This window comes from Homo sapiens, chromosome 1, assembly GCF_000001405.40.
Source record: "Homo sapiens chromosome 1, GRCh38.p14 Primary Assembly".
Lineage (NCBI taxonomy): Eukaryota > Metazoa > Chordata > Mammalia > Primates > Hominidae > Homo > Homo sapiens.
Genome location: NC_000001.11, coordinates 94,771,784 through 94,784,745, shown reverse-complemented (window position 1 = coordinate 94,784,745; position 12,962 = coordinate 94,771,784). Strand labels below are relative to the sequence as shown.

Here is a 12,962-nt window from a genome sequence, read left to right as displayed (position 1 = left end):
TACCATGCCCCACCTCCAACATTGGGGATTATATTTTGACATGAGATTTGGGTTCATCCAAACCATATTACCAGGCCAGCCAATGGCCTGTTTCTGTCTCCAATGGACAGAAACTATCTGTTGGCACAGGTGGCTGGGTGGTAATTCTCTCTTCCCCTCAGGGCCAAGCTCAGTTCCAGGAATCCATAACCACTTAGCGGCTCCTCTCTAAAACCTTGCCACCTTCTTTCCAGTTTCTAGGAATCTCCATTTCCTACCTTGCTGCTCCTTAAAGACATTCTTCCTGCCTTGGCCTCTGACTTCCGTTGCTCTAGAATTGATGTCTGCTGTCTGCTTTCCACTTTGTCAGAATCCCCTTACAAGAAATCACAAAACTTTGTTTCCTGATTGAAATAAGAGGTCAGGGAAAAGACAGGGAGTATACACACAGTTGGAAATTCCAGCCTAGGCTGGGCGCGGTGGCTCACGCCTGTAATCCCAGCATTCTGGGAGGCCAACGCGGGCGAATCAAGAGGTCAGGAGATTGAGACCATCCTGGCTAACACAGTGAAACCCCGTCTCTACTAAAAAGTACAAAAAAATTAGCCGGGCGTGGTGGCAGGCTCCTGTAGTCCCAGCTACTCGAGAGGCTGAGGCAGGACAATGGCATGAACCCGGGAGGCGGAGCTTGTAGTGAGCTGAGATCACACCACCGCACTCCAGCCTGGGTAACTGAGCGAGACTCTGTCTCAAGAAAAAAAAAAAGAAAAAGAAAATTCCAGCCTATTACCCTGTTATAGTGATCAGATACCAAAGTTGCTGAAGACACAGAGAAAGACTTCCCTAGGGAACTTAAATGTTCTCTAAACATATAAGGCATGATAGATGTTCCCCATAACTGGATGATATTCCTCCTGTCCTATCCTCCTGCCCTAGCCACAGGAGTGAAGGCTTGCGTTTAGGAAGTATGTTATTACTGCAGCCTGTATGACTTACTTTCTGGTAATAAATCTTGTGTGTGAATTGTGGGGACGGCCAGCATCCAAAGTAAATAGCGACTGTTGTGGTGGAGGCTGGCTGGCCAGCCTGGCTGGCTGCGCTTCAGCTCCTTGGCTGCTCCTACAGGGATTGCTGCCGTGGAGCTGACTGTGGCTTCCCCAGGGCTCTGCTGAAAGGGCCTTCCAGCTCTGGGGAGGCTCTGCCCTCTTTTCTCCCTCAGCTAGGACCTTGGCAACTCTGCTCTTCCTCCTGGCAATCAGGCATCTGGAATGGCTGAAGGGTGAATTCCAAGCAGCAGAAAGAGTGCCAGAGTCCTGGGCACTTCCTTCTTTGGAATCTCTCTATCAGCCCAGCACACCCCAGGTTGTGTTTTCTGAGCAGAACAAGGTGATTCTCTGCAATGTACTAGAGGAGAGGAAGGACCAGGATGCACTGCATGCAGCTGTCTCAACTCACCTTGCTCCTTTCTTCCTCCATAACTTTGCTTTGGACATTTTCTCTGCCTGGAATGCCTTACCTTATTCTCTCTCTTTCTCCTGGTGAAATCCCTACTTATCCTCTAAGGCTGAATGAAAACACTGTCTCTTCTGGGAAGCCACCACCCCTCTCCCTCAAACCCTTTTCTCCCACAACTTTTTGTTCCTAGCCCTGTTGTAATACTGACCATATTGTATTATAGTGAGTAGTCTGCCTGAGTGAGTGCAATAACTTTTTTTTTTTTCTCTAACTCTTTGGCCCTAGGATCTAGGATGGTGCCTGGCACATATCAATGATAATGATGATTATAATAACAATTATTCATTATATGCTTAGCAGTTGCAAGGCACAGTGCTAAGAGCTCCGTAACATTTAATCTCCACCACAATTCTAAGGGTAGCTATTAGTGTTATCCTAGTTTCTGGATGAAGTGGTGGGTTTAGGGAGGTTCTGCAACTTGCTTAGGGTCCCATATCTTTTAAAGGGTGGAGCTAAGTTTTGAACCCAGGTTTGTGCAGCAAAAAGTCAGTGTTTTAACCTTTTTTGGTTAGGTTTTGACAGGTTTTTTGATAGGTTTTGATACCTATCACTGTTTTGATAGGTATTTTTTGAATGCTTGATTGAATGAATGATTCTAGAGGTGCCCAAGTACTCCCTCCATTCCCATCTGAGTGCAGCATCTAGGGCGGGGGCTGTTTTATTCCTCAGGCACTGGACTGTATCATGGTACCTTTGGCCCAGGCTCCTCACTTGATGGTGTCTTGCTTTTCCTTTTGGTGGGCAAGGAAGATCAAAAGGCTCTAATGATGGGATAAGCTCCTGATCTGCTTATAAATATACTGATCCTAATGTCAAGCCAGCATCCCTTTCATGGTCACAGCTCATGGTCTATCATCAAACTCTGTGACCGGTGGTATGAACAGGCTGGTTTGCATTTTCCCCAGAGCATTAATACCCATAATCTCTCCTTTGTCTGCCTTCCCTCTGTGTTTCTACAGTGTAGGGCTTGGCAGGGTTGGGGCCAGGGAATGTGTGGGGAGCTATGTGTGCTCCTTTCTCTCTTTCCCTATCACAGACAAGAGAGGGAAACTGGCATTATGCACTGATGTCACTGAAGGACAGAAACAAATTGCAAAAGTATATGCCTGCAAGGAAGGAAGCAAGTAGATGCCACTAATGCTATTTTTCTGTTTTTTCCTAGCACCTGGCATATAATTGATGCTCAATTAATATTTATTTATTGAAAAAAATTACACCACATTCACAAATGCCTTACATTTCTGTAGCACCTTATGAACTCTTTACAGCTCTGTGGTAGCTATTGTTTCTACTGATTCTTATATACATTTTAAGGAGGAGGATATTAAAGCTCAGAAGGGTTTGATGACTTGGTGAAGATCACCAAACTTATCAGAGGCAATGTCAAGGACAAAGCCAACATCTGTGACTTTGAATTCTGAAGGAATGAAGAATGTGCAATCTCAAAATATGCCACATTGGTATATTTATTATTTTGAGTTACAAACATTGAAGAAATTGTAGTTTCAGAAAGGGCCAGTTGTCCTGTCTCCCCCTGCATGCAGCAAGCCATAAAGCTTCCTCTTGGAGGGGGACCTCCATGTACCAGGGCAAGAAAATCGTCCTTATTACCAGAGACTGGGAAGTTAAGGCTGCAGTGGACCTAAATAAATATTACCGAAGTAACCCCTGTCGTCCACTAGTTTTATGTCCCCTCATATAGCTCCTATGACTCCCTTAAAATTTACTACCCCTAGCCAGATCCCCTTTTTCTTGTCATTTCTTCTCAAATTCATTGTTCTTTGTCTAAAAAGTATAAAGACATCTTGCTTTGGGCATTTCTTTGGATTTCACTCTCTTGTGAAGATCCCACGGGCACAGTAGTTGCATCTGACAGCACTGACTTATTCACACCCTGAGAATGACCCTATACGGCAGATGCACCTGCCAGCAATGACTTAAGAAATGAGGGTTGCCACATGGAGGTTGTCGGGGGGAGCGTGCTAAGTGAAGGTGCTATCTAAACTACATGCTTTTTTCAAGCAGTTACAGTTTCCTGTTCAGTCTTCCACCACTGGACTATTCCTGTATGTAATTTCTCCCTAATAAAACCCCGTGTCTCGTTTGCTGGCTCTGGGTCTCTTGTTTGGCCTCTCAGACATGGTGCCATTCCTATTGGAGTCAATAGGGATCTGGCATGACACCTACGTTCCTTAAAACCAATACAATTAGTATGCTTTTATCTTGTTAATCTGCCTGGTGTCCATTTGGTTTCTAGTTCTAGCCAAAAATACCACCTAAGAACTTAAGGGTGTTGGGGTTGCTCGCTGACTCTCCTACAATCCTGTGCTCATAAAACAAGGAAACAGAAATCTCAGATATTCAATACCTAAATGTTTATCTTAAAGCAAATTCTACTTATATGGTTTCATTCTTTGTTTGGTAACCTATCCCATTTCACTTTATTTTTTTGGATCTCTTTTCTCTCATTTTCTGTATTAAAACCATTCACAGTAACTTGTATAGCCCTTCATTTGGAAGAGAACGTGGACTTTTTCTTTTCCAAATCATTTTAAATCAACAGCTCCTCAGTGAGTGCCTCCTAAATTAAGATTAAGGCATGACCCCTGCCTTCATGGTGCTTACTTTACGTGGCTGTAGGGACAGACAGGAACCCCAGGGCATATGAGATTGCAGATACTCCCAACAGAGATTTTGATGAGCACATCAGAGCATCAGTGGCTTTCGAGCTAGTGTAAGGATGAGTAGAAATTATTTTTAGACACTCCTTAGGTAGAGATGGGGAAAATCATTTTAGTTTAAAAGAATAGCAGTGGCAAAGGTGGGGAGGCATGACCTGTTTAGGGCTGGATGAGTACTCCTGGGATGGGGTACAAGCTGGTATCATATTGTGGAGGCTCTTGGATGCCCTAAGATGTTGCATTTTTTTCAGTAGGCAGTAAGGAGCCATCAGTAGTTTGTAAGGAGGGCAATGTGATCTCAGCTACAGAGGAGAATGACCAATGAGCAGCCATATCAGTGACCTAGGAGAGGCTCAGGGATTCATCCCTTATCTCCCAATTCCCTACTGAGGGTGAGGCACTGTGCAGATGAGCGGCACAGAGCCAGGCCTGCAGGCACTGGCAATCAGGCGAGCAGGCCATGCATAGCTGTAAGGCACCATCATAAATGTCTCTACCTAGTTCAGCAAGTGCACAAAGAAAGTGGGGTATAGGGTCCCTGGGGAAGGTGGGCATCAGGAGAGCTTTCTAGTGGAGATGATGCTTGAGCTGAGATTATTTACAGGGCGAGGAAGATGTTGAAAGGGAGAGAGGAGGGAGAAGGCATTTGCAGGAACAAAGCATGGAGGCATCAGCAGCGTGACCAGTTAGCCGGACTTGCTGTGTGTGGGTGTGTGTGTGTGTGTGTGTGTGTGTGTTTAATACAATTGTTTTGCTTATTTAAGTAATATTTGTTTGCTGAAGAAAATGTGTCAAATATAGAAAAACTAAAAGAATAAATCTATAATCCCACTACTTGGAGATAATCATTTAAAAAATTAGGTGAATATCTTTCCATTTTTATGTGAGTGTGTATGTGTTTGAATAAGAATAAATGTGTGTGTGTATACATATATATAAATGTATCAATAAGTAGAACATATATGTATGTGTTAATACAGCTTCATCTTCTCTCTCTTTGTATTGAATGTCCTGCTGCATCAGCTATAGGGATAAAATAAGGTTACATTTCTTTAATATTCAAACAATACTGACTTGAACATCCACCAGCCCAGCCTGACAGGAAGTGTAGTCTTCCCTGGAGGTTCTCAAGTAATCTCTAAGAATGTGTAAGAAATTGCTACTTATTCCTCAACCTGTCCTAATAGTGGCTGCTTCCATCTGCCTACTGATGATATGTCTAAGATTTAAGTAGGAAAGGGAAATATGGGTAGATTAGTCTTTCCAGCTAGAGTGAAAACACCTCATGGGCCAGGAACCATGTCTTTCTTGTCCACTGCTGTACCCCCAGTGCTTCAGATAAATACCCACCACATAGTAGACATTCAATAATACACTAAATGAATGAATGGATTCAAACCTCCACTTATTCAGGCAATTAACATTTACTGAAGATTTTTGATGTGCTGAGTTCTGTGCTGGGGATTAGAAGTGTACATGCAAACAAAATAAAACTTTCATCTTTGATGGGCATGAAGATAAGCATTTAAAAAAACAAACAAACTCAGCTTCCATGGGAGTCAGTGAGATTCTTAGCATCTGAGGTATTCAAACAGACACCAAAGACTACTGACCAAGACTGTAGAAGGGATTCTTGCTTGGGAGAAATGCTGGACTTAAATGACCATTAATGACCCCTCCAAATGTAAATTCCTATGATTGAATGAATTTTAGCTAATTGTTCCTAACTTATTAGTCATAACCAAACAGTTCACAGAAGGACTCCAGAGTAAATACAATTACAAATGAAAAACAAATGTTCTGATGGGATCCAAATATTTGTTGATAACAAGTGAGATTTCTTGAGAAGCCTGCAGAATGTTGTTCTCAATAGGAGACATAATTTTTAAATAGTAGAAATTAGAGAAGTAATACATTTCAGAATGTGTTTAAACATATTTTCTTTAATTCAATCCATTTATTATATTCAAAACTCGTATTCACAAGCAAAAATAACTAAGAACTGATTAAGACAACTAAAACAAGCTTTTGATAGGTCTTTTTCGAGGAAGCCCAAAGGTCTCAAGTTTGATCGCTGTTTGGAAAATATGAGCGCAACACTTTAAGACAAAAATTTCCATATGTTGGTCTTATTAGAATTCAAAACTCATTCATCTGTTCCTTCATTCAAGAAATACATAGTGGGGAGATAAAAGAAAGACATAGTGAAAATCCACTAAGTGTAATATACTGTAGACTTTGCAATATGAATAATTCTAAAAGGAAAATGAGATCATCTATCATACATTTAAACAGTCTTTTAAAAAATTCATTTTATTACAAAGTAATAATCATCCATTAAATAAAAAACTTAAAAAATGGCAATAGTAAAAAGAATACCTATAATTATACCATTTAATAAATATCTACTATTTATGTTTTTGTGATTTCCTTTTAGGGTTTCTATGCATGTAATTTTTATATCATTGTAATACTGCTGTGGAAACTATTTTGAGCTTTAAAATCCTAATCATTGAAGAGGCTGGTGGAAATAGTTTAGTGGAACTGAAACCTGATTCTCTAGAGCTTTGATATATGTGCCTTGGTTTTCCTTCATGTACCTTAAGCATTACTCTTTTGGGTTGAAAATAAATCATATAGGTTTTGTTTAAACAACACCAAGCATATTTAAAAAATGAGAATTTGGTAAGAATAATGGCCAGATTAAAAATTAGATTACAGATTAGCAGCTGGATACCTAAATGATCAGAACATACAGTTGTGGCCATTAGCCTTACTAGCACACCTAGTCCATACTATCACTAAATAACTATTTGGCCCCTGTTTGTTTAATGACCAACTCCCCTGTTAGACTCTAAACACTGTCTAGTTCACAGCAATATCTCTAGTGCATGGTTTATTGCCTGCTGCAGGCTTGGTTCTTAGTAGACATAACTGGAGTAAGTGAATGAATGACTCATTTACTGGGAAGGGTAGTTTGGGGGTAGTTCATCAATCAATCCATCTATCCATCCATCCATCCATCCATCCATCCATCCATCCATCCACCCATCCATCCACACACCCACCCACTTACCCACCTACCCAACCATCCATCCATCCATCCATCCATCCATCCATCCATCCATCCATCTATCCATCCATCCATCCACTTCTTCATTCATCTATCACCAGATATCTTAGGGAATATTTGCCATGTGGTAAGCACTGTGCCTTGCACCAAAGGCACAGAGTAAAGCAGTGATGGCACTGCTCTGGATGGAAAAGCTCACTCTCTGGGTGGGGAAAGAGTCAGACCCTCCATTGAGGTCTTCAAATACCTCTTCTGCAGATCTCTTGCCTGGCATTTACAGTCCTAGAACTGTAAAAACTGGTCCTTTTATTAGGGCATTGTTTTTGTAAATCACAAATATGCTGCAGGGTGTGCTTTTCAGTCATTAACAACTTAGAGTGAGCTAGTTTCTCAGGTTTAGGAGGGGAGGGAGAGAAAGCAGGCCATATGGTTATGGAAAGGACACTCTCAAGTAATTGGTTTCTCCCTTCTCTATAGTAGGAGGCCCTGGGTCATGGGAAGGCAGCAATGTAGCAGAAACATGCCCAATTGGCTTGAGTCTGTCACCACCTAGCTGTGCCATGACAGGCAGCTTGGCCAACTCTGAGCCTCAGGCTCCTTACCTGCCTGGAAGGTGATGCAGAACAAATGCTGCTGTAGTCATGAAAGGGTCCTGTGAATCACATGACTACATGCTCTTCCCCTTGCCAAGGAAGGGGTGAGTTTTTCAGACCTGACAGCCATGCACACACCTGCTGCTCTGCAGATGGCCTCTTCTGTGCTGCTTTCTTTTTAGAGGAAGCCCTTCAAGCTTCTTGTATCAGGTGCCACACAGACATTAGTTGCATCTTCATTGTCCTCTCCTGTGAAGGCAGAACCTGGTGCTGAGTCCCCAGCATTTCCAGGTAGGAGGGAGGCTGTGCAGGAGAGAAGCCAGACCTGGGGAAAGAGTCAGGGCATGAACCAAACTCTCCTTTATTGGCACAAGCTCCCCTAGGCCAGCCTTCCTGGGGCTCCACAGCTCCAGGGTGCATCACGGAGCTGCACCCCAATGCCAGCTTGTCCTGGCCCTCGGGAGCACAAACCTCCTGGGAAGGGCCCTCAGAGGACTGCCAGGTTCTGTCCTATCCAGCAGGGCCTTCTTCCAGGCACATCTTTGTCACGTGAGCTTGAGGACAAGGAAACTCTTTCCCTGACCTGGAGGTGAGTGCATCAAAACCAGGGCTACATTTGGGGCATCCCCAATGTCAATCACATTCTCTTTGTAATTCTCACAGCACCTCATGGTGAGGTAGACTGGTGTGAAAGAGAAACATAAAGCAAAATGTCTATCTCCTCTCGGGTCTCTGAGAAGGAAACTCTCTTACCTCAGGGAAGCGGGAGGGAGAAAGGAGCGGTGACCTTCCTATGCTGTGTTCCCAAGGAAAGCATGCATCTCAGTCCATTAGTTTTACCCTTTAGCAGCGCTACTGTCTTTGAAAAAATGGCATGTACATATATATATATATATGTGTGTGTGTGTGTGTGTGCATATGTGTGTGTGTGTGTGCATATGTATGTGTGTGTATATATATGTGCGTGTGTGTATATATATAGTCATATATATGTATATATGTATGTGTGTGTATATATATGTGCGTGTGTGTGTATATATATATATAATGACAAATGAGAGTTGGGATTGTTGAGAAATGAGTTCTGATTGTTGAATATAAATCTGAACTCAAGGAAATAACCACTATTAAAAGAACTTTAAACAAATAAAATTTAGTAGGGTTTAATTGAGCAAAGAACAATTCATGAATTGGGCATCCCTAGAATCAGGACAGATATAGTGAGACTCCAGGGGCTGCCACACAGCTGGACATTTACAGACAGAAAAAGGGAAGTCAAATACAGAAAGTGGAAGAAGGGGAAAGTGAGGTACAGCACTAGCCCTATGGTTAAAGCTGGAGTTTGGCTTATTTGAACCTGGTTTGAACGTGGGTTGTCTGTGGTTGACCTGGGTTCAGCTGCTGTGATTGGCTGACATCGGGCCGCTTGTTACAAGAGTAAGTTACAGTCTGATTACACATCAAGTTAGGTTACAGCTCACTATGTACAGAGAAACCTTTAGGCCAAACTTAAGATATGTATGGAGGCAGCATTAGGCCAAGCTTAATTCAATTTAACACTGCTCATTTCTGTAAAAGCTTTTTACAGAAAAGAAAAGCTTTCAATGTTAATTTTACCCAGTATTTTGAAAAGAGAAAATGCTTGATCATTGATCTTCACATTAAGATTAGCAGCAAGTAGGCAAAGTGTTATCTCCACTTTTGACAAGGAGGAGACAGGGGCTGCATGAAAGCCATAGGACCTCCCCATGGGAGCATCTCAATCCTCTGCTTCCAGCTCAGTGTGAGGGCCGTGGTAAACTGCCTCAGGTCTGAGCACAGCACAGTCCCTGATATACGGTGTGTTCTTCATAAATGCCAGCCAACCAGGCCCTTCCCATTCATGTAACCATGTATAGGTGTCCTGTACTTTTACTTTATAATATTAATGACAACATCTAATGATATATTTATTAATCATCTAATGTCAGTCCCTGGCACACCCACTATATGACAGCAGGGATTGAGTCGGTCTTGTTCACCACCTGTGTGCCTAGCAAAGTGCCTGGCAGACTGGAGACACCTGCCAAACAAGTGCAAGGTTGGAGAATGAAAAGCTGGCCCTATCGTAGCAATTCTGCACCATCATGACACTTGGCCATGAAACTTTGCTGCCTCAGTTGCCTAATGAATCTAATGGGAATAAAAATCTATCCTCTCTCAAGGACCAGTTCTCTCTCTCTAAGTTGGGAAACACCATTGCTCAGAAAATACTGTTCTTCCCGTAGAGGCTTCAAACTGCTGTGGACTGGGAGCACTCTTCAAGGTGCTCTCTCATGCCATGGCCAATTTGTGCTCTTTTCCATGAATTAGAAGCAGGATGTTACTTTGGACAATACCCAATAAAATTGTTCATTTGATTATTGATGATTTGTCTGAAATATTTTGTTGAGCTCTTTTGTTGCCACACACTGAATCAGGCACTTGGGGCCCACTCAGACACTGCTCTGAGGGAAAGCCCTGGCCGATGACGGTAACAAGGGCAGGGGGTGCATGGGCCATGGGAGGCAGGCCAGGTGCTCAGGGAGAAGCCTTCTGATCCCCAGTGAATCTTGAAGGGCAGTTACAAATTAGCCAGCAAAAGACGACGTTCTAGTTGGAAAGGTCAGGATGATGAAAGCCTGCAGGGCGTGAGAACTCCCAGCCTGTGTAGAATCCATCTTTGCATGTTTTCTCGCGGTGCATATGGTTTAATGATTACTATTTCTTCCTAATCAGAGCAGTGTTAGGTGACTTCTGTTCCAGGTGGGAATGGGCTTTCTCTGCCCTTTTGGGAGCTTTCTCACCTTAAAGTATCTGCAAAGGCTGTCACCCAGTATGTTTCTGAGAAACCACATTCCTGACAGCTGACACCAGTATGGGGATGAGAAGGCATCTTGTTTCCCGCTACTTCCTGTAACAGGGATCCCAAGAGAGCACTGTGACTTATGATTCACTTCAGGGTCTTTCCATTTTTTGGAAATGGAAAGACCTCCTGCTGAGGCCCTGCCAACAGAGGTGGGAACAGGGGTGGGTACCCATGATCTGGGAGAGGTAAATAGGCTGAACTTTGGGGGCACCCAGAATCTTGAATTGAAAGGGGCTGAAATGAGCAGCTTGCCGGCCTCCTACAGATACTGGTGTCTGAAACCACCATAGAGGTTTAGTTGGGTGCACATTTGCTGTGGAGGAATAAGGTCTTAGCCAGTTGGGGCTGGTTTATCTTTAGGGTGGACTGCTGGGCAGCAGGCATGGGAGAGGCACACCCCAGTTCAGCCTGTTCCTCAGTACAGCAGCCTGCCTTGTTTTCCCTCAAGGCGGGTCTGCTTATGTTGACATTGATTCTCCTTGCAAAGTGACGCGTAGGCAGAGCTTCATTTACAGGTGATTATCAGTAAGTCCTGGGTTTCCATGAGATCATTTTGCTTTCTCCTGGGAGGTGAAGCCTCTTTCCTAACTCAGGCTGTCTCAGGGTTTTGCAGCCCTCTGTCACAACGAACTCATCAGTGGCTATTTCCTTACGAAGGCTTCTGATAGGTTCACATGCCAGAGTTTCCAACCTTCACCAGCAGCTCAGATTTATGCCCCAGTGAGCGAATGTACTCAGTACTAGTTCCTTCCTATCAGCTTAGGAAAGTGTGTAGTTCAAGGATTTAAATCATTTAAACAAACTTAATTGGGAAAAACAGACACTTTAACTTTCTACCTGATGTCCCCTTTGGTCCAGCCTAGCCACCTCCGGATTTATGATGCAGTGAGTATTGCTCTGTTATTTTATCTCACATATTTTCATGTTTCCTTTTTTTCTTCTTAACTGAGACCACAAATTAGAAAAAACCTTCAGATTCACTTCCTGCGTTGTACACTTGAGCACACAGGCCTAGGGACATCGATTGCCATACTTGAGATCATGCAGCTATTAAGGGGAGGGGATGAGCCAAGGATCCAGGCTCTTCTGATGCCCAGCTCAGGGCTCAATCCACACTGGCTCCATCTTTACATCTAGCCCTGGGTGTTCTTTTTTTATTATTTATTTTTTATTTTTTTGAGTCTCGCTCTGTCTCCCAGGCTGGAGTGCAATGGTGCGATCTCAGCTCACTGCAACCTCTGCCTCCAGGGTTCAGGTGATTCTCCTGCCTCAGCCTCCCAAATAGCTGGGCCTACAGGTGTGCACCACCATGCCTGGCTAACTTTTGTATTTTTAGTAGAGACAGGGTTTTGCCCTGTTGGCCAGCCTGCTCTCATACTCCTGACCTCAGGTGATTAACCCACCTTGGCCTCCCAAAGTGCTGCAATTACAGGCGTGAGCCACTGTGCCCGGCCTAGCCTTGGATGCTTTACTGCATCCGTTTCCCCAACCATTCATGGCTTTGTAACTAGAGCACAGTGTTCTTTCTGTAGAAGGTACTTAAGGAAAGTGTTGCCTAACTTTTTATTTGCTTGGGGTTGAAATGTCAGCTTGCGGGAAATGCTCTAGAAATGTGTGGGGAAACTCTGCTAAGCACCCTCCATGACTCTCTCATTTGGTTTTCAAGGACTGAGGTAGTGATGTCATTCATTCTTGAACAGAAAGAACTAGCCAAACTTGTTTTCAGAGTCTAACACTTTGAATAGAGGCTAGAATTCTCTTACTGACCATCACGCCATGTACAAAACATTGCCAATAAACTGCTGAATCTCTGCATCTCTTGGGCTTAAATGGAAAAGCGTCTTCTCCAACCTGGGGAATAAAGTATAGGCTTTGTAATTTTATGTAAGGAAAACCCAATACTAGTTACTCTTTCTGGCATGCTTACTATGTGCCACATATATGGTGCCTCTATTATGCTGTACAAATGTTAATTCATTCAATCCTTGGCCTTAAGTGGTAAAATTTATATTATTCTGAATTTTATAAAGGAAAAGAGTGAGGCTCAGTTGCTTTTCCAAAGTCGCACAGCTAGAAAGTGGCAAAGCATGGAGTCAAATTGACTATAAGCCCTGCAGACCAGAAAAGGTGACACTTTGCCTTTGAAGACACAACAAGAGGGCTTTCCTGGATGTCTGCCAGAAACTGCTGTCTTCTGGCAGGTTCTGGGCCTCTATTTTCCATGTTCAGACTCC

At 43.3% G+C, this 12,962-nt stretch overlaps 1 long non-coding RNA gene across 7 annotated transcripts in view, besides 1 other annotated feature; it reads left to right on the top strand.

Moving 5' to 3' along the window:
- Positions 1 to 12,962, top strand: part of SLC44A3-AS1 (SLC44A3 antisense RNA 1) — a 203,881-nt gene that overhangs the window by 35,487 nt on the left and 155,432 nt on the right. The window lies entirely within an intron of this gene.
- Positions 822 to 1,584: an enhancer, noted in NCBI's record as "H3K4me1 hESC enhancer chr1:95248718-95249480 (GRCh37/hg19 assembly coordinates)". NCBI's record gives its function as "activates a minimal SCP1, AML or CMV promoter by ChIP-STARR-seq in naive H9 embryonic stem cells {active_cell/tissue: H9 hESC(naive)}" and the evidence as "EXISTENCE:reporter gene assay evidence [ECO:0000049][PMID:30033119]".